This window comes from Homo sapiens, chromosome 13 (genome assembly GCF_000001405.40).
Source record: "Homo sapiens chromosome 13, GRCh38.p14 Primary Assembly".
In the NCBI taxonomy this organism is placed as follows: Eukaryota; Metazoa; Chordata; class Mammalia; order Primates; family Hominidae; genus Homo; species Homo sapiens.
The window spans coordinates 72,451,604-72,478,462 of NC_000013.11; the positions used below are offsets into that span (position 1 = coordinate 72,451,604).

At 37.4% G+C, this 26,859-nt stretch overlaps 1 non-coding gene and 2 pseudogenes across 1 annotated transcript; all 3 read right to left on the reverse strand.

The window, feature by feature from the left end:
* Positions 1 to 2,298: 2,298 nt before the first annotated feature.
* LOC124900345 (small nucleolar RNA SNORD37) lies at positions 2,299 to 2,364 on the reverse strand. Its single transcript, XR_007063956.1, has one exon. It is a non-coding gene; the product is annotated as a small nucleolar RNA SNORD37 (small nucleolar RNA).
* Positions 8,467 to 8,726, reverse strand: RPL18AP17 (ribosomal protein L18a pseudogene 17; annotated as a pseudogene).
* LOC124900340 (uncharacterized) lies at positions 8,916 to 9,025 on the reverse strand (annotated as a pseudogene).
* Positions 9,026 to 26,859: the final 17,834 nt, after the last annotated feature.

Here is a 26,859-nt window from a genome sequence, read left to right on the forward strand (position 1 = left end):
AGCTCCATTCCTGCTAAGTGTCCTACACAAATGTGCCCTTTTTAAAAATCTTTCTTACCATATTTTTACTGTATCTGCTCTATGTTTAGATGTATTCAGATACACAATTAATTACCATTGTGTTACAATTGCCTACAGTATTCAGTAGAGTAACATGTTGTACAAGTTTGTAGCCAAGGAGCAACGGCTAGACCATATAACCTAGATAGGTAATAGGTTAGACCGTCTAGGTTTGAGTAAGTCCCTTTGTGATATTCCCGCAATGATGAAATCACCTAATGACACATTTCTTAGAATGTAGCCCCATCATTAAGTGACACATGACTGTATATTTAATTATTTTATAACTTCTCAGTTTAAAGTTCTATTAAGTAAATATCAATAACTCACATAAATCAAAAGCTTTTACGGTCTTCCATAATTTTTTAAGAGTTAAAAAGCATCTTGAGACCAAAAATTTGAGAACTTCTGTTCCAGTCTCCAGGCCCACTACTTAACATATTTTTTTTAAAAAAGCGTTATTTAGAGACCTCCCTACAAAGCCACAGCCTCACTAAAGAGCTCAAAAAATGAATGCTGACTAAATTCTTCTGTTCCGGGCAGCATCAGGGTTCTCCCTCTCTCGGTTTATACTTGAAGGTAAAATGTTCAAATCCTGACGGTAATATGACTCAAAGAGGGGAATTTTTAAAGTTCCAGTTCAGTATCTGCAAGATACTCTCCTATGTGAGAGGTCTAAGGAGACAATAAACCAAGTGTGAGATTCCGGGCTCAGGTGGGGCCCCTTCAGGGACCCAAGAAACCAAGCCTAACTGAGCATTTGGGGGTTGCGAGGGCAGACATTCTTGTCCACATCAATGCCCCATGTCTTTGAGGGCTCCAGGTGGCACACATGCGGACAGTACATCAGTCTCCCGAGGGCTTCTGGTGTGGGGACTAGTGAGGACTCTTGATGAAGAAGTTCACATAGGAGATGGTGAACGAAACTTATCCTAACACATGAAGCTACTAGAAGAAATGTAAAAGCATGGAAACTGACATCCTGGGCAAACAGATGGGGGCCAGGCACTGTCAAAAGCCCACTATTAATCTTGATGAAACAACACTTTTACCTGTGGGCTGCTGAGGCCTGAGACATGCATACGAATTATATGCCTATGATCAAGTACTGGTGCACCATAAGTTGTTATAGAAATATAATACAATCTATATATTACAGTTGATCAGCCAGCCAAAGAATTTAAGGATAAATTATTCTTGTAAACATAGAATAATTTTTATTTCAAAAATGTTAAAGTAAAAATTATAACAATCAGAATTTATATTTTTTGAAGCTGGATATTGTTCTAAATCCTTACTTAGAGTGAATCCTTATCTAATTGTCTGATAAACTCTGAAATATAGATATTATCATTATCATCCTCATTTTAGACTTGAGGAAACTCAGGAAAGAGGTTTGCCCAAGGCCACACATTAGGAAGTATTAATAAAATATGATTTTTAAATTTTTTCTCCCCAAATCTACCTTCACAGCAAAAATCAGTCACCCTGTAATGATACACATTTACATAAAGCTTCAGTATATTTGTAATATAAAAGCTCCATTTCTCAACTCTTCATCACAGCCCACCCGCCTTGCTCACAGATACCCATCTCAAATGGTCCTGAGAAAAGCAATCTGGTTCAATTTGCTAAGGGGGCAAAAATTCCCAATAAGGTTTAGTGATTGCCACAGTTGGAATGTTCTGAAATCAGGGCCATGTTCCTGTCATGGCAAATTAGGTCAGCATGGTAAGACATGGAACCATGCATAGGATGACGGAATGTAAAAGTACATTATTAGCTGATGTCCTCTCTGTTTTATTTTTCCCCGGTGACATTTAACAAATTGAATGTAAATGTTCAGAAACACACAATGTTCTGTTAGATGGTTTAAAAGACGTACGTGGAGGAAAGAGTAGCACGTGAACTGGCAGGCAATATCATGACATTGACTATTGTGTACATTTCAGAAAATGTTATTTTTCCAAGAGTGTCTTTTAGAAGTTATCCTTTAAGTTGTCCAGTACTTTTTTGCTCAAGCTGTTGTTTTTAAGTACGGCAGAAGTAATTCTGTAAACCTCTAGGTGGTATTATAGAAACATGGATGTTTAAAATATACAACCTTATAATTGGACATGGTGATATTATTCAAAATTAATAAAAGTGTGAATATTTTAAACTACCCTATTGAATACCAGAAAATGATTAACTTTTAATTTTTTAATTTTTTAAAGTTTTTCTTTTTTTTCCCCATAGTCTCAGATGCTAGATTTCTTCAATAGACATCAAGTCAAAGTAAAAAAAATATTGGTCGTCACCTACTATTTTAAGTCTTATATATTTCAGACAATAAGTAAGACAAAATGGCAGGATAGTTTGGTGGCTACTGATGTGGGCTCTGTAACCAGATTTTTTGGTTAGAATCTTGACTCTACTACTTACTGGCTGTGTGACATTGGGTGAGTTACTTAACTTCTCTGTCCCTCTATTCCCCTGTAGTGTGAAATAAGTTTAATAATACCTCACCAGAATTTTTATGAGGAATAAATGAGTTAAACATATAGAAAGTACTTAGATAACTGCTCAGTACGTAGTAGGTACTCAATATAAGTTAGCTATTAGTATCATCTTATAAATGCTTGACTTTTACTGCCATTTTAATCTAAATGTTTTGCAGATAAAACCCAAATGAACCACAACTTCCATCACCAGTGTTAAAGCAAATCAAAACTCAGAGATATATTTAAAAGAACTACAAATCTAAATTCAAAGAGCCTGAAAAAAACTTAGATTTTACTGATGTTTTATTGCAGATACAGAAGTATTCACAGAAAAAATTCTAGCACACGTGCTTTCTGAAATAACGTTTGTGTTTGCCACATACATTTTTAAAAGATCTCTGTGGCTATTGTATACATAAGGATATCATGAAGGAAGCATTTAAGAGTTGCTGCAGTTGTTCAAAGACGAGATGAGGTTGGAATGGACAATAATCATGGAAACAGAGATGTACAAAAGCAGAGATTCTTTACTAAATATTTAATAAATGTAATGTGGAGCTGCTTCCCCACAGATACAAATATGTAGCTATAGAAAAGAACAAGTCTGGGTGAAGATGTGGAGAAATTGGAACCCTCACACAAAGCTAGTGAGATTATAAAATGCAGCCATTTTGGAAAACAGTTTGGCAGGTCCTCAAAAAATTAAACACAGAGTTTGCATATGACCAGAGATTCTATTAATACTCTCAGGTGCATACCCAAAAGAATTAAAAACATATGTCTACATAAAAAAACTTGTACACAAATGTTCATAGCATCATTAATTACATTAGCCAAAAATTGGAAAGAACTCAAATGTCCATCAAATGATGAATGGAAAAATAAAGTGCAGTATATGCATGTCATGAAATAATACGCAGCCATGAAAAAGAATGAAAAAAATTTTGTGAGACAGGGCCTCACTCTGTTGCCCAGGCTGGAGTGTAGTGGAGTAATCATGGCTCACTGAAGCCTCAACCTCCCAGGCTCAGGTGATCCTCTCACCTCAGCCTGCCTAGTAGCTGGGACCACAGACATGCACCACCATGCTCAGCTAATTTTTTGTATTTTTTACAGAGACAGAGTTTTGCATGTTGCCTAGGCTGGTCTTGAACTCCTGGGCTCAAGTGACCTGCCTGCCTCAGCCTCTCAAAGTGCTGAGATTACAGGCATGAGCCACCTGTAAGCCCTGCCAGGAATAAAATATTGATAAATGCTACAACATGGATGAACCTTACAAATATTATGTTAAATTTTTTTAAAAACAGTCAGATACAACAAGCCACATATTTGATGACTCCATTTGTAAGAAATATCCTTAGTAGGTAAATCCAAAGAGACAGAGAGTACATTTGTGGTTGCCAGGACGTGGGAGAAGGAAGAATGGAGAGTAACTGCTAATGGGTACAGGGTTTCTCTTTGGGATGTTGAAAATGGTCTGAAATTAGATAGTGGTGATAATAGTATAACTCAGTGAACACACTAAAAAATTTGAATTGTACACTTATAGAAGTAAATTGTACAGTATTTCCCTATATTCCATTGAAGTTGTTACTAAAAAGTACAGAAGAATTCACTTATATTAAAAAGATATCTGAAGAGCTACTTATTTACCTCTTCAAAAATGGATGATTTTTAGAAAAATACTGAGGGTCCTCTTATGAAATTTTGCTTGAGGATAAGGAATTTAAACTTCTGGCAATGTAGACTAACAATATTGGTTATCTTCTGGCAGATGCAGCCTGTAGATAACAGTTATTACTTAGTGATGTGTTACAAACAATGAAATAATTCTGAGCTCAACCATAGAAAGGAAGAGTAATTAAAAGTTAACCAATATCGCCAAAAAATAAGAAATGTTTTTCATAGTACTTAAAGCAGAAGTGGACTAGGCTTAAAAATAAAAGACATTTTTATACAATTAGAATGATCACCAAGGAACAACTGGCACAATGTCTGGTGGAGTGAAAGAGGACTGATTTTCTAAGCTTTCCATGTCATCTTTTTAAAAAGCCAATTGGATACGCTTAACACTCACCAAGTTGTTTTGTGGTCGCTGAAACTTGTATACCCTTGAGCTTTATACGAGAGGAAGATGCACCCAAATACTCGGAAGTTGAAAACCAAGAAGATTTTCAGCTTTACAAATTGCAGCATTATGACATATTCTAAAATTTATTATGCGCTGTAGGTATTTTACTAAATACTTTTCTTAATGCATTTATTGCAGCTTAATAACTTTAGGTATATTGCTATAGAAGGAGGCTCGAATATTCTTGCCTTTTTTCATTGTAAAGTCCATAAACACCCATAAATGCACCAAAGCTCTTGAAATTATACATACGGATTATTAGAGACGAAGAATGATACAGGATCAGATCATTGTTTCAGTTTTATGTCTATCACTTTTAGTCTCTTTCTCATTCCATTGTGAACCAAAGAACTCTCTACAACAGCTCTGAACATTATCAGGATGTTCTTTCCCATCCAAACTGTGAAGGAGGAGATAGGGAAATAACAGAGAAAAAAAAGTACACTCTGCCACAGATTCTGTTTTAGGATTATAAAAATTTTTCAGTTAAGTGTACCAGGTTATCAAGGTGGTAATTTCATACTTGCTCTGAAACATTGAAAATATTGATAAACTTAAAATATAGATGTTTGGCTGAAAGAATGAGCTGGAATCAGTCCCAAATACTTTTTGGCAGAAATAATAGGAACCTGCTTCTTCAAATCTTGTAATGATGCCAAATGTTCTCTCTTTCATCAACTTTTTATTTAAAATGTCCACCTTCCAAGTGTAAAATAATAGTAATTAATTAAAGGTAGTACAACAAATGCTGTATATTTTTTCTAAAATTTCCATGCCAAGTCGACTCAACCTTTATGCTGTAAAAACATATTTATATTTTCTGTAATTAGTTAAATGAATGTATGCTAAGCCAATCATTCTCCTTAGGCCTAAAGTAGGTTTGGGTTTTTTTTCCTCTTAAATGAAGAATGCTTTTCTTTTTCTTCTCTTGTTTTCTTTTTCAGATGCACCTGTTAACATTTTTACCACCATATGTCAGGCCCAGTTTTATGTCCAAACAATCTTCTAGGCATTTTTGAACATCTGCTATCATATTTGGTATCCTAATAAAAGAATTATAAGGGACCCATGGGTGTCAAGGTCACAATTTTGTGGCTTCAAAAATAGGAAATAGGACACAAGTGATCCTGACAAGTAAATTGTCCAAATGCAGCTACCTTGGAGATACGGTGCCCAGTGGAAATAGCACTGTGTTTGTATTTAGAAAAACCTGGAGTCAAATCCTAACCACCATGCCCTATCCCCACCCCCATCTCCCTGGTTCTTTTCCCAGTTGTAAAAAGATGTAAACACTACATTTTTGTTTGTTTGGTATTTGTTAGCTCTACTTCCTCTCTATCTGATGGCACCTTCATATTGCACGACATTATATACCATGCGCATTTTTTTCTGTTATATTCTAAGCTTTGATAGCAATTGTATTAATGACATAGCTCTATAAAAATTTTAAAGGTTATTATGTAAAGAAATCACTATGGACGAGGAGAGAGCTTTCTGATAAGCTCCAATTTTAAAGAAACGTATTCAACAAAGAAGGTAAAGTCCAGAGAGATGGCTGTCAAAGACTAACAAAAGGACTTAAAAAAGCATTCATAGGTTCAAGAAGGTCTAGGAGGAATAAGCCCACTGCTTAAGACCCTTGGAAACTTAAACTCTTCAATTTTGCTTCTGTCATTGTGAAGAGAAGGATATCAACACTAAAAACAATTGCTTCTGATGTTAGAGTTCTGTGATTCTATGATTCGTACTCTGTCATTGGTTCCAACACAGTGCCTGCCACATAGCAAACACTCATTGGAATGTAGAATGAATCAATGACCAGGATTAATATTTTCAGAACTGCATGGCTTTAAAAACATACAAATTTGGGGAAATATAAGTTACATTAAGGAGGTATCAAATACAATTAAAGCTTAGAAAACCAAAGAGGCCTTAGAACAATTATCTCAGAGAAATGACACATCCAAAGAGGAAAGGAAAAATTCTAATTGATAGGACAAATATGATTTTAACATCAGAAGATTCTTTCAAAGAGATCATATATCCACATGTGTAATTTTAAGAAAGGTAGGCACAGATAAAATCAAAATAACCCCATCTACCTCTAATTATACCAGAAATATCTCAGTTCCTAAATCTGATTTCTTATGGTCTTATGGTTATAGTTACATTTTGCTTTATACTCTTCTCCCCATGAGATGCAAGAAATTATATCTATAATTGCATTGTATTGTTGGTATTTACTGCATCAAGTCTTCAATTTACTGAGTAAACTAGCAAATTAAATGCTAAGCTTCTTTTTTCCAAATAAATATTATTCCATTTACTCCAAATATATCAAATATGCATTCCCACAGGGAAAAAAAAAATAGAAAAAAGTTCCCAGAAAGCTGAGTGGAAATTTGTGATGAGGGAGAAGTTAAAGACTAGCTTCTCCCCATGACAAAAACCTTGTCCTAAGCCATTAGAAACTTGTAGAACCAGCAGTTCACTCTTCAAGGTCAACCAAGCATTCTTAATGCTGTTTTGCATTTCTTTTGGCAACAGGCCACTGCATTTTAACATTTGACATACTCCTTGCCTTTTGCCTAGCCCTGTAAGTAACAGGACGTTTTTCTGTGCCTGGAAATCAATTCTGTTCTCCTCCCATTCTATGACTCAGATAATGAGATACTAGGAGTCAGTCAACAATCTCACACTTCCACCCTTCACACTGCAACCTGAAAACTGAAACTACAACTGTAACCACAACTAAAGTTGTACTGCAACCTGAAAGCTGTAACTTCCATGTTAATATAAAACAATTCCTATTTTTAAAGTCTATAAATTAACATTTTTTGCTTTATTTGAAATGAAAAAAATTAAATTTTATTTATTTTAGAGAAGAATGAATTAAAATACAAATAGTATAAGAAGAACAAATTAAAATGAAAAATCAACCAAGTTTTAGCAGGTTGATATATATTCAGCATTGTGGAAAACTCTCTGAAGATATTTCTGTCTTAATGTTTAGTATTTTAGGAGCTCTTCCTCTGTGTAAGGTATGGTAATTGGTGTCATGAGGAAGATAGAAGAAATGTCTCTGCCACATGAAATATATAATCTAATTGAAGAAACAAAACCATTGAAAGGTTTTTAAGTTGCACGGCACAACAGAATTATATTCTCGGAAGTAGAGGACTTGTTAAATGAATGGGACAGGCAAAAAATACTAATTCAGAGTTATAATTAAGAGCACACAGCATCACTTGGGCTGGACTGAATTTGGAAGGCTTCACAAAGAAAGGACTTGCACTGTGACTTGAATGATGGATGGGATTTATGGAGGCAGAGAGAAAGGAGTGCATTTCAGGCCAGCAAAATTGGTTTAAGCAAAAGCATAAAATTAGAAAAGTTCAAGGCAGGTTAGGGCAGAGTTTAGCTGGAGTACAAAGCCAGGGAAGTGAATAGTTAGAGCTGTCTGCAAAGGTTGCAGTGATGGTCAAGGTCTTACACTGTCAGAATAAGCCATTTGGACTTCTGGTAGGCTGTGGGGAGTCACTGAAGTCTTCAAGTAGGAGAATGACAAGATTGAAGGAGTGCTTTATGACCAACTTGTCAGCAATATGAATGATGAATTGGCAAAAAAAGAGACTACAAGTAGGATGAATAATTAAAATTAAAAAGCTTCTATAATAGGAGAAATGGGGAAGATGATAAGAAGCTCAGCAAGAAAGTTGGTACCAGTAGAAGGGAGGATCAGGGAAAGAAATGGAATCAGGAAACATTTGTGTGATGGTGGATTTTGTTTTTGGCATTCTTGAAGAGTTTATTTGGGCAGACCCAGGGTGAGGAGGGCCCTGCACCTAGAAGAAGGTGTTGGATCTCTTGGTGGTGGAGTGGGACCAGCTTGTGCTGGCGATGTGGGACCCAGTAGGACAGTGGGAACTTAATCTTGGATTTATGGAACTGCTTGGTGGGTAGCCAATGGCACTTGCTAGCCAAGATCTCTTCCACCTTCATGATCTGAATCTAGGGGACCCAGGTACAGTGTCGGGCACCCATTTCTTGGTCTGTAGAATGGGGAGGGGACAAGATTACAGCATTCATTAGGTTCTGGGCATTTGGCAAACCTATCAAGTGCCTGCCCAATGACCTGGCACATCCTGTCAGGCACAGCAATTGCCTGAGGACCCCAACTTGGGGCTGACTTGGGGACTAAGTGGCTGCAGCTGCTGGTCCCAGCAGGAACTTGCCACGAGGGGTATAAAACCTCCAAATTCACTTTAAGGGGCATGACCACAGCTCTCTAAAGGTGATGAGATCCTTCAATAGACATTGTGAAGAAATAATTGACAAACAATGGTGACTGGTAAGATCTAGGAGGCAAAGAACAACCATGACATCAAACTTTAGAACTGGAATGACTAAGACAGCGTCTTACATTTGTGTAGCACACTAAAATTAATCTGCAAAACATGTTCATCCTGGAAATAAAGAAATGGAACCTCTGATAGTAAACATTATCCCCTTGGAGGATGGTACAAAATGTTCTTTCGACTACCTAGTAGACAATTTAAAGGTGCTGCTAGGTTCATGTTCTCCTGCTCAGCTATGGAACATGGCTCTTTATAGTTCCTCATACTTATACTGAATCGTCCATTCCTCCTTTGATCAAGCATGGATTGAACTGAGCTGGGTGATGAAGACTGCATGAGGCTCATTCTGGACCATGCAAACCCAGAAATCTGGAATTGAAATCTAGAAGAGTGTCAGCTGCAGGTCCTGGAAGACTCAGGGCTTAGAGAGACATTTGTGGGACTCTATGAAGAGGCTATGTAAATATAATAGACTAAAGAGGGTGTAAGAGGAAGAGGAAAGGAGGGAAGAAAGGAGGAGGAGGAGGAGGAGGAGGAAGTGGAGGAGAAGAAACTGGCAGATATGCAGAGAAAAGCAATGACAAGACACCACTTAAAACTACAGAGGAGGGAGTATCTGCCTTCGTCCGGCTTACTTGACCAGTTCCCTGCTTCCTAGTGAGATCCAGCAGCTCTTCCTGCCTATAGTTCATACCAATACTCTATATCCTTCCTCACATGTCTCCTTTTGCTTAACCTAGTTTAAACTGGTATCTGTGTCTTGCAACAAAATTATCCCTGGCAAAGAAAATTCATCCTACTATCTCAAGGTGTCATGAACCGAAAGAGAACAGCCAATGAGAGAAGCTGACTTTAAGAGTAGATAACCAGGGAGAAGGGGTACAGTTTCAAACATATTTATGCATCTAAGTGTGTCATTGGAATTACAGGAGTGAAGCTAGGGCAGCAGTTGCAAACGTTGATTTAGCTGTCAGTAAGTAAAGATGATGGTAGAAATTCTCTTACCAGTGAGCATGGAGTAACAGAAGACAGAGACAGTTGCCAGGAAGGGGAAGAAAATGTGGTAGAAGTGGTCCAAGAGTTTACCAGATTTCCAGGAAAGATCCTTTAAAATGAGATGCAAAAAGGAGAAAAGCCATGCTTACCCTGAGGCATTTTCTTTACCAAAGGAACAAAAAACACATCTCTTTTGAAATAAAAGGGCTTATAAAACAAATTTTATGAAAATGAATAGCTTCTTTTAATGAGGGCAAAAGTAAGTAAATGTGGGTTAAATTTCAGCTGTTAAAAGTTAAAGCTTAAAATTTTATTTTGACCATAATCTTTCTATGTCAATTTCTGGAAACATCATCACATCTGCAATGGACCAATCTCTTCTCTCACGGAAGCTGAAGTTCATCTTTTTCCATGAACCCTTCCCAGGCAGTAACAGTAAAGTAGTGCAGTCTATGGTCTTAAACACGAAGAACATTTCAAGACTACCCCAAATAAACACATATATATGTTTGAGATGGGGCGTTACTATGTTGCCCAAACTAGTCTAGAACTCTGGGCTCTAGCAATCCTCCTACTTCAGCCCCCTGAGTAACTGGGATTACCAAATAGACATGTTTTTAATTGAATACTAATGTCTTAATTATACTTTCATGCACTATTTTTAAGTCTTATAATATGACAGTTAGGAACAGGTTTGACATGTCATTTGACAGGAATGTTACTGCATCAACAATATTCAGCATGTGCCTGCTATGTGGAGTGGGGCAAGAAAAAAATTAATCAGTTCTAAGAACCTTGAAGCAGGGCTGTTTGATACTCAAGCTTCCAAATTTAGCACCATGCTGGAAGTGCATTTGTAGTTTTGATCCTTAAATAACAGTGCAAGAAACTCTCTAAAACTATTATTACACTTTACCTAAAGTCCTGGATCTATCTTTGAAAAATAATTTGTTTTCAGCAAGTCTCTAAGAATTGTGTGGAATTCAACTAAATCATGTAATTCTGGTCTGCTACATGTACATTAGGGGAAATGTGTCCTCTTTTAAATACAAATATATTGAACTTGAGCTCAGGGACAGAACAGAAATTTTGTAAATAATATCAGTGTAGTTCTTTTATTTCAGAGGTTAAAAAAGAAGCTGTTTAAACCATAAAATAATCAAAGAGTTAATCTTGTTTTATTATTATAGGAGCAAAACCCACTGGCAACCTTTAACTATGTTAATTTTCAAACTTTCAAGTCCTTACTCAAACCACAAAGCCAGCAAACTAAAGGTAGCCAAAGGGGCTGTTTGGTAAAGACAGAAATGAACTATGCCTTTTGAAGTGTTTCCAGGGAAATGTGTTTGGAATATTTAAGTCCCAAGTGAGTTACAAAGGTTATTCATTCACAAGTGAGATAAATTCATAGCTGTCAAATTGTCTGGATTCTCTGTGTGATCACCAGGGCTTCAAATCATTTATTTTTTTCCAGCAAAAGTTCAATATTTTCACAGCTTCAAATTTGATCGTACTTTATAATTTGGAAATAAAGAATTGCTCTCTTCCTCACCTGCTCACTGAAGCAATAAAAGGCTATGAGTATATTAAAGCATTTTTTTCTCTTCCATTGTATTTTATTTCTATAGTATAAAGTCAAATGTTTCTAAATCGGATGTTTCTACTAGTGAAATAACTGGATGTAATTAACAAAGAGTCCAGTTTTACCAGACATATGGGGTGGGGAATTATTGCAAATATAAATTTTATGGTGTTTTCTATTTGACTGTACTTTCTGGAATAATTGAAAATAAAATAATAGTTCAAAAGCCTCCCTATGTAAGTTTTGCCTTTTTTTTTTCTCTTTTAAGAACTATCAGAGGTAGTTCAGAAAGAGGAAGAATTTTATTTTAATTGCTTGGTAACACTAAAATCAGGAGTTAAAAGGAGGGTAAGAATCCTCAAGAAAGACAACAAGGTCGATAAGATACCTCCTAACAAAATACTTCAGAGGAGACAGGAATGAGCTGTGGCTACTGGCCTGGTTAACTTTAGATTCTTTTCAGCTCCAAACGTACGTACGGGAGAGGAGACGGCTCCAGGGAACACTAACCAGGCCTGACCTCCTCTGCTCCCAGAGGAAAACAAGGAGCTCGGAGTGCTCTGAGGCAGAGTGATAAAGCCACATACTTATACATACGCCTGTTTGGCAAAGAAAGCCAAAGAAAGCAGCTTATAAAAACTGCTCTGTAAGTCCAGACATTGCTGACTGTAGTGAGAAGAGAGAATCATTACCACTCACAATGTCTTACTGATGACCTATTAAGTAGAAAGCAAAATAAGATGTGATCCTTCCCTTCAAGCAACATGTAATATCTTGGGGGAGGCCAAGCATATATTAAAAAAAAAAAAAAAGCTTAGTTATACTTTATAACAGCAAATATGAAGTAAAGGGGCATGCGCTGGAGTAACAATAATTGCTGGAGGAATTTGAAATGACCCTGAAGGAAGGAGAGCACTGAGCTAAGTGGAGAGGAGGGGAAGGAATTGTAGGCAAAGGAAAAGAAGCCATGAAGTTGTGCAGGTTGGGTTTGAGAAATTATGAATAGACCAGTTAGGTTGCAGCAGAGGACCCATGCAGAGACATAGTGTGATAGTGGGACAGAAGGTTGGGAAGTAGATAAATGCTAAATAAATGAGAAGTTAAAGGGTTTGGGGCATTGTGCAGAGCCCCTGAAAGCCTTTACTAGAAAGATATCATATGTGAAGTCGCATTTTTATTTAATTATTTATGTATTTATTTGAAAGAAGGTCTCACTCTGTCACCCAGGCTGGAATGCAGTGGTGCTATCATAGCTTACCGCAGCCTCAAACTCCCGGGCTCAAAGTGATCCTCCTGCCTCAGCCTCCGAGTAGCTGGGGCCACAGGCGCACACCACCAAGCCGAGATAATTTTTTTTATCTTTTGGTAGAGATGGACTCTCACTTTGTTACCCAGGATGGGATATTGTATTTTAGAAACTACTATTCTGGTATTAATCTATAGGATGGAGAGATAAGGAGACACGTTAGAAGGTTATAATAGACATGAAATGATAATGATTTGGAGTTGAAGTGTGCTAGGAGATGATGGAGGAGATGAATGGCTAAAACTTATCAAGTTTTTAGCCACGCTATTAATGTCAGACACGCTGCTAAGCATTGTAAGATACATGAATATGAAAGAAAGGACTTAAGACTAACAAAAGGTAACAGATAAGGTCAAGTCTAGGATCACTTTCTGAACAATGACATCTTCTGCACACAAGAGAAATATCTTCTTTGATGAATGATGGAATATTTATCCAAATAAATCCAGCATTCAATTAGAGGCTCAATTAAAAGTTCAAGTCATATTCAATCTTCTGTTTGATAATCAAGCAAAATTAGATGTGATCTGAGATATAACAGATATAAATAATCATATATATCTAGTATATATACAAGATTTTGTCCTGTAAAACAATTTACACAAGATTTTTAAAAGATCAAATATTGTTTTTTGATATATTTCCTAACACCGCCCAACTTTAGTTCAGGTGTCTCACACTTCACTAATATTTATGATCTTTCATTGTTTATAAATCAAATATTTTAATGACTTTAAAGAAGGTGGCTTTCAAGAGATCCAATTGTAAATCACTCTGTAAACTGAAAGGACTTTTTGTAATAGGGATTTACTTATATTCAGAAGTTAAAGTCTTACAATAAGGAAAGATCATCTGTCTGTACAGTCTCTTAAGTTCTTTGCTCAAAAAGCTGAGCGAATCTCAATCCAAACAAAAGTGAGAAAAAAAAAGAAGAATGAACCCACTGTGGGCAACTTGAGTCTGATAGATTTATTAGCTCAAGGTGAGTAGAAATAGTATCTTATCTGAAGGCAAGATCACATTTAAAGGGTTGCTTTTAATTTGTAGTTCAAGAATATTATAAAATATTTTTAAAACACAATTATTAACTTTAATTTTTTTCAGGAAATGGGAATGATTATCACTGGACCCAATTTTAAAATATAATTATGAAAAATCATACAATAATGCATATATGATCAAGAAATATCCAAACTAGGTATACTATAAGATACAGTGGACTTGAAGAGTAAAAGTGGGCAGTAAATAACTTATTACTAAAGGAATATGAATAATGGCATAAGTAGAATATATATCTTTTTTTTTTTTTTTTGAGATGGAGTTTCACTCTTGTTGCCCAGGCTGGAGTGCAATGGTGCGATCTTGGCTCATTGCAACCTCCACCTCCCAGGTTCAAACGATTCTCCTGCCTCAGCCTCCCAAGTAGCTGGGATTACAGGTGCATGCCACCACGTGGTTTTGTGGTTTCACAATGTTGGTCAGGTTGGTCTTGAACTCCTGACCTCAGGCGATCCGCCCACCTCGGCATCCCAAAATGCTGGGATTTACAGGCATGAGGCATGGCGTCAGCTCCATGTGATTTCTTTAACTTCTTAAACCTCAGTTCCTTCTCTTTAAACTACACAGATAAAATGCAACAACTTTTTTTGTTGTTGTTGTTAAAAAAAAAAGTAAAAAAATAAAGATAATGCATTTAAGCACTTAGCGCAGAATTGGGCCCACAATAAGAAATTAATAAATGAGTTATTATTATTATTATATAGAATTAGTTAATAAGTATCTGTAGTTTCCCATGAAATTACCTGTCAGGAGCAAATTAGCTCCTTCTTATTGAATTTTTACTTTTAACATACCCCGTCTGCTATCATAAAATAGTTTGAGGAAGCTTACAATTAAAGATATGTGTTCAATACTGTCGTAAAAATATAGATTTAAAAAATTTCACCTACAGTGTAGGAAATGGAAGTGGGTATGATTACTATATTTGAACCCTTTCTGTGTTTCCTGACTGCAAGAGAAGGAACTAAAAATATTAAGTTGTACAAGTCATATTTTTTAAGATAGTTATTCAGGAAGAACAATCAAAATGTAATATATTTGGATAGCACTTTCTAAAATGTTTCTCCCTACAATGTTTCATGTGTTTTTTCCAAAACTTCTGTGAGTCTGCTGACCAGCTATGACACCCAATTTTATATATGAGGAAATTAAGGCCCAGGAAGGTCACAGAGCTAAGAAGAAACAGAGCTAAGACTTGAATCCAAGTTTGGAGAAAATCATACACACGAAAATTAACATAGCTCTGAGCTCCCTGTAAGTAAAGACAAAAATGGGTGTGGGGTGAGGGCATGCCTCCTGTTATCTGATAAAATATCTAATAAAAGGAAGCCTGCTTTGGGCTAGTAGATACCAGCTTTTTCCTTCCACTAAAACTAACAGAAATTAGTAACACAGATATATATTCAAGAGGCTTTCGACCACAAAAGTGAACTGTGATTTTAGTAGAAGTCTTAAACAAATTGCAGACATGTTTATGTTTTTTATATGTCTCTGTATTATATAGCCTAAGGGAGTAATTTTAAATTGGTTCTGTGAAGGAATTACTTTTAAACAGCAGATGGTAGGAGCAATATTTTCTAGGTAAATGCTATTCTATCAAGAAAGATTTATTGAGAGCCTACTATGTGCCAGTATCTATGCTAGATAGTGAGTATACAGAGATGAAAGTTATGATGCCTGCCCTCCAAGGTCTAACAGTCCAGTGGTGACATTCAATTGCGATAAAACACTCTGCTCGTGATGGAGAGCTGTGCAAACACAGAGGCAGAATGACAGACCAGCTAAATGTGCAAGATGGCCTCAGAAAGTCAAGGACTTGAAACTTCAGAAGACATTTGCCAAGTGAACAAGAGCAGAGCAAGTTTTGCAAACAAGAAAGGGGATGTGCAAGGGAACAGAGGCAAGAGGTGTAAGGGGGTGCAAGGGCTTCCTAGAGACTAATGAGTTCAGTGTTCCTTGAACTTTAATAAGACAGAAGGTAGGTGGTGGAAGAGAGGTTGAAGCAACACACAGCGGTCAGATGGGGCTGCTTATGCCTTGCAAGGCATGTAGTTTGCCCGTTGAGTAACTGCAACTCACCAATGTCTATTGCACAGGGAATGGACATGCTCTGATGAGGATCCCAAGTATTATGTCAGTCCACTAGATGACCAGTCTGACAATGTGTTAAATTTTCAGATTTTACCAATTTGCCAAAATCATGTTCCTTATATCTATTTATAAAGTTTACAGAGGTTTATGACTTGCCAATTGACTTGTTTTCATTTGGAGTTTGTAATATAGCATTTCAAAGAATGTGCAGTTTGCATCTGATGCTGGGATAGAGAAAAATTAGGCAAATTAGGAGCTATGCTAGGGAGAATAGGCCTTTGCCAGGAAAAGAGAGAAGGATGCATGGCCCATTATGCCAATCCTGGAGAGGAAGTTTCCTGAGGAAGTTGACTTGGGGGAGGTTGAGGCTGAGAAGACTACAGATTCAGGGGCAGAAAGAGAGATTATGGAACCGTGAGAGGACGTTGAGGAGAAGAAATTGGACAAATGGAGGATCAGAGAACAAGGCTAGAATCAGCAAAGGAAAATAAAAGAATGGAGGAGAGAGGACAGGGGTAGGGAAATGTCTGAGGGCCATGGCATCCCACAGCCCCCAGGGACCTACAATCTATACCAAACAACTGAGGTAAACATCTTTGTGGTAAATGGTATATTTGGCAAATTAGACATTCATGAATTTCATTTCCAGTAAATTGACTTTTGGCTAATTGATTTTTTTTTCTCCAAAAGGACAGGTACCAGTATAGAATATTCAAGAACAGGAGATTTCTAAGACTATAAATGGAAAGAGAAAGTAGAGTCAAAAGAGTTTTTGTTTTTCAAGTGGGAAATGAATACATTCATGCGTGAGGAGAAAGAGTTAAAAATCGAACATACCAAAAAGAGAAAGAGGCCAGGGGTGGTGGCTCACACCTGTAATCCCAGGACTTTGGGAGGCAGAAGCAGGCACATCACTTGAGGTCAAGAGTTCGAGACCAGCCTGGGCAACAGGACAAAACCCCATCTCTACTAAAAATACAGAAATAGCTAAGCGTGGTGGTGCATGCACATAATCCCAGCTACTCGGGAGGCTGAAGCATGAGAATAGCTTTAACTCGGGAGGCAGAGGTTGCAGTGAGCTGAGATTGCACTGCTGCACTCCAGCCTGCATGGCAGAGCAAGACACTGTCTCAAAAAAAAAAACAAAAAAGAGAGAGAGAGAGAGAGAATATTTTTGTAGCAAGATATTCCAGCTATTATTGCTATAGAGCAAGTTTTCCCAAAACCTAGTGGCTTAATAAATGAAAACATTTATTTTGTCCACAAAGCTATAATTTGGCCAAGGCTTGGCAGTGACAGCTCAACCCTGGCTCCACCCAGGGTCAGCTGGAATGGCTCAAAGGTGAGGGACTAAAATTACTGAAGACTCATTCACTCGTGTCTCGCAGTTGATGCTGGCACTTGTCTGAGGGTCTTAGTTTTTTTCCACATGGTTTTCTCCACGTGACCTCTCTGTGTGGGCTAGAATGCTTCCCCTCCCATTGTGGCTGAGCTGAAAGACAAACATCTAGAACGAAAGAACCAGGCAGAAGCTAAACACACGCCTTTCTAACCTAGTTTCACCAGTAATACAATGTCACTTCTACTGTATTCACAGGACCATCCAGATTCAAGAAGAGGAAACGCAGATGCCATCTGTGATGGTTAGCATTATGTGTCAACTTGATTGGATTGAAGGATGCTTAAATAGCTGGTAAAGTATTGTTTCTGTGTGTGTCTATGAGGGCGTTGCCAGAGGAGATTGACATTTGAGTCCGTGGACTGGGAGAGGAAGACACACCCTCAGTATGGGTGGGCACCATCCAATCGGCTGCCAGACCAGCTAAAACAAAGCAGATGGAAGAAGGTGGGATAAGCCGGCTTGCTGAGTTTTCTGGCTTCCATCTTTCTCCCCTGCTGGATGTTTCTTGCCCTTGGACATCAGACTCCAGATTCTTCGGCCTTTGGACTCTTGGACTCACTCTAGTGGTTTGCCTGGGACTCTCAGGCCTTCGGCTACAGATTGAAGGCTACGCTGTCGACTTCTTTACTTTTGAGGCTCTTGGACTTGGAATGAGCCACTGCTGGCTTCCTACCTCCTCAGCTTGCAGATGGCTTATCATGGGACTTCACCTTGTGATCGTGTGAGTTAATTCTTAATAAACTCCCTTTCATATATACACCTACCCTATTAGTTCTGTCCCTCTGCAGAACCCTAATACACCATCCTTTAATAGAAGAATATCAATATCCTATTATAAAAAGAATACAAGAATACAAAATAATATATATTCCAAATTGTTGTATTCTTTATATACATCACACATATATATCACACATATATGTATGTGTGTGTATGTATTGCACCATTTTAGACAAATACAATCTGTTACCCACACTCACTGAAGTGGCTTAAAAAAAATAGCTCCAGAACAGAGATGAAACAGCCTTGCATTGGCAAGAGGATAGTTTTTCTGTTAAGGAGGGGCTAGGCCAGGAATTCAGCTGACTGTGAGCCAATTTAAAGAGAACAAGGAGAACCAAGAAAGCTATGCAAGCCAGGTTTAGGCCTTTCTTTCCCCCCATCTAAGTTTCAGATGGTATCTTAGTCCTGCAATTCTCCTCCTTTACCTTAAATTCAAGTTCAGGAAATTATAATTTGTTGCATTTTGATGAAAGTTTCCATCACATTTTAAAATATTAATATTTGACCCTGAAGTCTTCCTTTTTATACCATAATTATTAGCAGGTATAAAGGAAGTCCCAGCATAGGTATTTGGAGGATCTAATTTTCACCATTCCATACTCTTCATGGGGAAGAAACAATAAGAGGTTAGAAACTGAGTCAAAAGAAGAGAAAATGTAATCGAAGTTTTATTTTAATTATAGTCTGCCCTGGTCTTTCTCCAGTAACTCCAGTTATCACTATCTGTTGTAGTCTCTCTGAGGTGTGAAATACTTGCCACATCTTTCCAGAAATGAAGAAGAACCATCCTTAAATAATTGCATATTTAATAATGCCTAATGCTTACCACTAAAGTAATGTCAGAATTTACAAATTGCTCACAAGTAGTAACACTGATCTCATTTTCTTTTTCTTTAATGTCTATTGTTCTCACCTTGGAAATTATAAAGAATGTTTTCTAGGGTTAATGATTTCTGGAACATCTCATTTATTTCAGACACATTAGAGTTAGTATCTATTTATTTCTTTACCCCTAGGTCCAAAGGAAATTAAATGTTGTAAAAAAGGTAGATAGAATAAGGAGAAATATTATTTTCTATATCCAATAAGCTCAGAGACAAGAACCACCTTTTCTTAACCTGTTGTGGAAGGTCACGGCAAGTAGCTTTGCTAATGGGCAAATTGTTGAACTTTTAGGAAAGGTTTAAAAGCACCGAGGTTTGGAGGGTTGAACTTCCGGAGACCATATAGATCTGCTGGCAGAATTTCTCAGGAGAGTGTGAATGTTAAAAGGGGATTTATGGATGTGACAAGCAGAGCACTTAGAGGGAACCCAAGGGTTTGATGCAACATTTGGCTACTAGAACACCTAGGAAAAGTCTGTACATGATCCTTTTCCATCCTAAGAGGAAAGTTTATTCTACATCAAAAAAGATTAGCAAAATCATTATATCATCTACAAATCTGCTGTGGCTGTCAGTCCCTTTTTTTTCCTGTTATATCAGAGAAAGTATCTCTTCTCAAGATCAATAATCATTCCCTCTGAATGAGATCCAGATCCCTTTCTTTCTCATCTTATTACACATTATTCATCAGCTCTCTTTCTTGTATCTTCAACTTCTCCGTCTAGACCAACTCATTCTTACCAGAGCACCAATGGGTTCTAATGTTCTCACATCTTTAAAAACATCATTCTCCTTTGACCTCCTATCTCCCCATCCTCTTCCAATTGCCACTCCTTTGCTCTCTCCCTGTCATACTCAAACTTCTTGAAAATATTGCCTCCAAACCCTGCATCAAAATTCTTACCTCCTATTCACTCTTCAAACTCCCTCATACTATTTCCATTCCTAAAATCATACTGAAATTAATATTGTCAAGGAGGGCACAACTTTCACCTTGCAAATCTAATTGACTTCTTCTATCCTCATTCTTCTTAAACTCTCACTAGCAGTCAACAGAACTGGCACTCAATCCTCTTTGAAACGTGGCTGCCAGTACTTCCTAGTATCTTTAGCCAGCTTCTTCTACTCTCCTGACTTCCAAAAGTTGAAGTTCTTCTGGGCACTATGTGGGACATCTTCCTGTATACACTCTTTTTTAGGTGATTAAAACTTTCAGTACCATCATTGGGTCAGCAACATCTAAAACTTCCATCTCCAGCTTAGACCATTCTGAGGATCCCAAACTCACATACCCAATGGTTTATTTAATATCTCTCCTTCTCCGATTGGATGTCTCATAAACAATCTAAATTTAATGTGCCCCAAACTCAAATTCTATACATTCCCTGCCTCCAAAATGCTCACTTCTTAGTCTTTCCTGTCTCTGAAAATGGTACCATGATCTATTCAGTGTCCACAAACAAGTGTTTGATACTTCCCTCTCTTTCAAACCCACAGCTAATCTATACTCAAGCCGTGTCTGTTCAAACTACATACATGTCTTGGATCACTCCATTGCTCTAGATTCTTTTCTAATTGAAAAAGAAATCACAGAAAATGTTGAACACATTCTCTTCTTTTTCCTATGTACTTTGAATTCCTTGGGAGAAGTCCAGTCTATTTTAAATAAATGATATAAATAAATAAGTTCAATGCAACATATTAACTTTGAAGTTTTGGTTATCAGTGCTTTTCTCTATGGGGAACTCATATGCTGTTTCAAACTTCTAAGCTGATTTTTGAGAGGAAGATATATTTTCTCATAGAACCCCAAGAGACTTGTATCAGAAATGAAGAAATGATTTCAGTTTTTTAAAGTTTCTTATATGGTGTCTTCAAAAAATAAATTTAGTTTTTTGTTCAAAAGATGTCTGAATGTTACTTCATTCTACACAACATAAAATTATATATTAACCTTCACCTCCTGAAACTTTCTGCTGGATAGAATTAAGAGTCATTTACTTGTCCCAAAGTAAAAGCAAGCCCTATGGGTCAAATTCCATCCACCTCTTCCCCTACGGAGGGTGAAGAGATTTTCAAAGAAGGAAAGAAGGGAATGAAGGAAGAAAGGAAGGGGGGAAGAGAAAAGGAGAGGGAAGGAAGAGGAAGGAAGGAAGGGAGGGAGGGAGGGGAAAAAGGAAAAAAAAGAAAAGTTTTATCTAATTAGCTAACCTCAAAAGCTAATAAGATCTTATTTCTTGTAAGAAATTTGAGAAAAGGGATTTAAAAAGAAATAGCTAAGTTCATCTGCCACCATTAGGCATCTGAAATGAAAATGAAAGATTTGACTAATTTATTCAAGTCAAAAAATAAGGATCGCATTCTGCTTCCAAGACACCATTGTGCTATGAACTGTACAATTCAAGTTCATTGCATGATGTAGAAGTGATCAGATTGAATTGTCTTCATTGTATGCCCTTAATCATAAAGAGTTTGTGTGCCTTTGAAAGAAGAGGAGTTTAGAATAACAAGAGCATGGAGACTTCTTTTATTTTAATGCATTCAGATGACTGAGTCATAGAAACTTGTTGAAGATATTTATTGAGCTGCTACCTCACATGAAGGACTTTTTGGAATTAATAGGCTCCGAGAGACCCAACTTGTCAGACCCCCAGTGGCTCAGAAGATTGTACATCTTTGTGAATATGACAAGACGTCCAAGCACCCTGAACCTGAGACTGCAGGGGAACAAGAAGCATTGCTGATTTTTTCAACGCACGAGTATACAGACTCCATGTGGACATGTGGACTGAGCAGATGGCAGCTGAGGATGGCACTGGCTTCCCATCCCTGAACATTCAGAGCTCAAAATATCCAAAAATTCTGAAGAATTACAGAATTGATGAAAATGACACCATAATTTTAGAAGAGATTCATGGAGTGTAATAAATACAGATCATGCTAATGTCTGTGGTTATCTAGAGATAACATCCAAACAAGCAAATGTCCACTCTATCACAGCATCGCTCAACCCCACAAGAAAAAAATAGGGTGGATTGTGCCCACCTAGAAGATTAAGTATCCCTGGAAATGTAACTTAACTGATATTTAAATCCATTTGATCTCTTTGAAATATTTGGCTCTGAAAGTATTTTTCTTGCTTTAGTGAATTCTGCTGGTGTACTAGCCAGACCCCTTGGCAAGGACTGGTGTGCTCATCCCCTAGTTGGTGTTGTTGTTGACTGTTAATGGCATGGAACTAAAACCTTTTCCAAGTAATTGCCCTCAGCCAAGCAAGAGCTGCCTAACCTAGGAGGTTATGCCCCACCCACCCACACTCCTGGGGACAGATCACAGCTAATGCCTTCCTGGGGGCAGAGATGGGCTTGTTTCAAGGAACAACTTAATATCACAATTCATGCCCTACACTTCCTCAGGGAATAGACTAAAGCTAGACTTCATCCAAAACTGCATCTTAGTTTAAGTGCCTTCCACTCCCTATCCCATCACTCACTCCTTTCCTCCTAAGAAAATAAATAATACTCACAAGAATTTGTCTCAAGACCTGCTTTTAGAAAATATGAACTAAAACAGCTGGTGCTAGGAGTGGTCCTAGGAAACAGTTTTAAGGTTAAGATGCTGAAATTGAATTATTTGCCAGCCAGCTGGACAAAGGGCCCATTACTTGTGGTAGTCAGAGTACTGATGATCCCTGGCAGGTTATAAATAAACTATACTTGTAATGAACTGGGACAGAATATAAGCAAGAGGAAAAACACTGGCTCATGCAACATTTCTGGAGTTTGAGGGGAACAAAGGAAATAATCATTATAAGGGTTGTGGAATTAGGAGGCTATTGCCATAGAAGCTTTGAAAAAGGAGAAGGGCAGGATCAGGGCAATCAATCACCAATTCAAAGCAAAGTGTTAAAGTGAGAGGACCCCTTTAGAGACATTTAAAGAAACATTCATATGAGATGTCCCAGTGCTAGGGTAAATCCACACATTGTTAAGCTATTGTCTGAAGTTACCTAAACCATCAGGACAATCTACAGGCTATCACTCTGCCCTATTATATTGATGACATCCTGTTATTTATACCTATGAACAAGAAGTGTCAGGTACTTTTTTTTTTTTTTTTTTTTTTTTTTGAGACAGTCTCACTCTGTCGCCCAGGCTGGAGTGCAGTGGCGCGATCTCGGCTCACTGCAAGCTCTACCTCCCGGGTTCACGCCATTCTCCTGCCTCAGCCTCCCGAGTAGCTGGGACTACAGGCGCCCGCCACCATGCCTGGCTAATTTTTTGTATTTTTAGTACAGACGGGGTTTCACCGTATTCGCCAGGATGGTCTCGATCTCCTGACCTCGTGATCCGCCCGCCTCGGCCTCCCAAAGTGCTGGGATTACAGGTGTGAGCCACCGCACCTGGCCAAAGTGTCAAGTACTTTGGATACCTTGGTAAAACACACCAGATAGTGGGAGATAAATACAACATGATTCTGAAGCCTGACTCATTAATGAAATTTTTAGGAGTTTGGTGATCTGAGGCATGCCATGACATTTTTTTCTCCTAAAGGGCAAAATTATTGCACCTTGTACCTCATATCTTAATAAAGATACACACCTAGTAGACGTGACTAGATACTGGAGGGGTAGCATATCCACACTTGAATTAATGTTCTGACCCAGTCATGGGGTGAGGGGAGATACAGAAGGCAGGTACTTTTTGAGTGGAACCCAAATCAAGAAAAGAGTATTAAATCCAATGCAGGCTATGATACAAGTAGCCTTACTATTTGGGCCACATGACCTAGCAGAGTCCAGGTACTAGAAGAATTTGTGCTAGGAAAAGGTATCATGTGGTATCTGTACCAAGCCCCAAAAGTAGGTTCACATGAAGATTCCTGGAGTTCTAAAGCAAGATGAAATCATTTCCAGCAAAGAACTATACACAATGTATGAAGGAGTTCTTGCCATACTGTCAGGCCTTGGTAAAGAAAAAATATCTCACTACAAGATATTAAATCACCATGTAGCTATAACTACCCAAAATAAGCTGTGTATGTCAAATACACCAAGTCGTGTGGTTGAGTGGGATGAGAAGCACCAGGATCAGCCTCAAGCAGGTTCAAAGGTCATAACTAAGATGCACAAGGAGATACACAGATCCTTATATCACTCACCACTGTGACAGTGATGCCCCTTGTTCAGATCACAGCTATTCTTTCATGGGGAGTTCCCTGTAATAGCTGACAGAGGAAGAAATAACCTGAACTTGATTCACAGGTGAGCCAGCCCAGTACATGGGTGCAATCCCAAAATGGATTGCTGCCACAACTACAAAGTGGCTGTGAAAGACGATGGTGAAGGGAAATTCTCCCAGTGGACAGAACTTCAAGTGTGCACCTGATCTTCTACTTTGTGTTGAGAGAAAAGTAACCCAAGATAAAGATATACATAAACTCAATAGCAATGATGAATGGCTTAGCTGGTTCAGCAGAGACCTGGGAGGATCAAGATGAAATATTTGGGACAAGGAGATTTGGGAGGAGCCATGTGGGAGAACTTATAGGAATAGGCTTAAAATGTGAAGAACTTTGTATCATATATTATTGCACACTAGAGAGCAAATACTGCACAAGAGGCACTAAATAATCAAATGGAAAGGTTATGCAAGGAAAAAAGACAGAAAGAAGAAAAGAACAGTGATGCCTTAGCCAGTTGTTATCAGCCAAACTCCTTTAGCCAGCCTAATAGTTGCACAATGGGCTTATGGAGAGACTAGTCATGGTGACAGAGATGGAGGCAATGCACAGACTCTCTTTAATCAAGGATGATCTAGCTTCTGCTGCTGCTGAATGTCTGATCTGCTGGCAGCAGAGACCAATGTTAGGCTTCTAATACAGTACCACTCCTTCAGGGCACTTCTTTCTGCTCCCTTCATTCTGTTACACTCCTACCCCAAACTAAATGCCCTATGGTATGGATGCTGGATATTTCAAAACATGCTTTCAACACCTAGAACAAGCTACCTGATGTTTTAAAAGTAATTATTTATCACATATAAGGGAGTTTCAATAAAGCTAGCAGGGATTTCTTGGCAAAAATGTTACAGGCCAGGAGAGATGATGTATTCAAACTGCTTAAGAAAAAAAAAAAACTGCCAACCAAGAATATTTTACTTGGTAAAGCCATATATCAGAAATGAAGAAAAAATAAACACTTTCCCAGAAAAATAAAAGCCGAAGGAGTTCATCACTACCAGGCCAGTCTTACAAAAAGTGCTAAAAGGAGTTCTTCAAGCTGAAAGAAAAGAATACTAATCAGTAACATGAAAACATATGAAAGTATAAAACTCACCAGTGAAAGTAAATATACAGTCAAATTCAGAATACTCTTATACTGTAGTGGTGACCTATAAATCACTTTTATTTTTACTAGGAAGGTTGAAATACAAAACTGTTAAAAATAATAATAGCCACAATAAGTTAAGAAATACACAATATAAAAAATATAAATTGTGTTATAAAATGTGAGGATAAAAGTGTGGAGGTTTTTCATATGATCGAAGTTAAGTTGTTATAAATTTAAAATATCCTGTTATAACAATAACATGTTTTATATAAGCTTCATGTTAACCATAAAGCAAAAACCTATAGCAGACACACGAAAGATAAAAAGGAATCAAAACATACCTCCAGAGAAAGTCACCTAATCACAAAGGAAGACAGCAAAAGAGGAAGAAAATAAACAAAGGATCTACAAAACAACCAGAAAACAATTAATAAAATGACAGCGGCAAGTCCTTACCTATCAATAATTATCCTGAATGTAAATGGATTAAATTATCCAATGAAAGACATAGAATGGCTGAATGGACTTTAAAAAAAAAAAAAAAAAAAAAAGAGGAAAACAAGCCCCAACTATATACTGCATACAAGAGATTCATTTCACCTTCAAGGACACACAGAGATTGAAAGTAAAAGAATGGAAATATATCCCACACAAGTGAAAACCAAAAGAAAGCAGGAATAACTATACTTATTTTAGATAAAATAGACTTTAAGTCAAAAACTGTAAAACAAGACAAAGAAGGTCATTATATAATGATAAAGGGATCAATTCAGGAAGAGGATATAACAATTGTGAATATATATGCACCCAACATCAGAGCACCTAAATATATAAAGCAAATATTAATAGATCTGAAGAGAGAGATAGACTGCAATACAGTAATAGGAGGGGAATTCAATACTCGACTTTCAACAATAAACAGATCATCCAGACAGAAAATCAATAAGGAAACATTGGACTTGAACTATACTTTAGACCAAATAGACCTAACAGACATATAGAGAACATTTCATCCAACAGCAGCAGAATTCACATTATTCTCAAGTGTACATAGAACATACTCCAGGATAGATATGGTAGGCCATAAAACAAGTCTTAACAACTTAAGAAAATTAAAATCATATCAAGTATCTTTTCTGGACACAATGGCATGAAATAAAATTTTAGGAAAATTCACAAATAGATAGAAATAAACACTATACTCCTAAACAACCAATGGGTAGAAATTCAAAAGAAAAATTTAAAATATCTTGAAATAAACAAAAATGGAAACACAACATACCAAACCTTATGGGATACAGCAAAAGCAGTTATTACAGGAAAGTTTCTAGCTCTAAATGCCTACATCAAAAAAGAAGAAAGATCTCAAATAAACAACCTGATATTACACTTT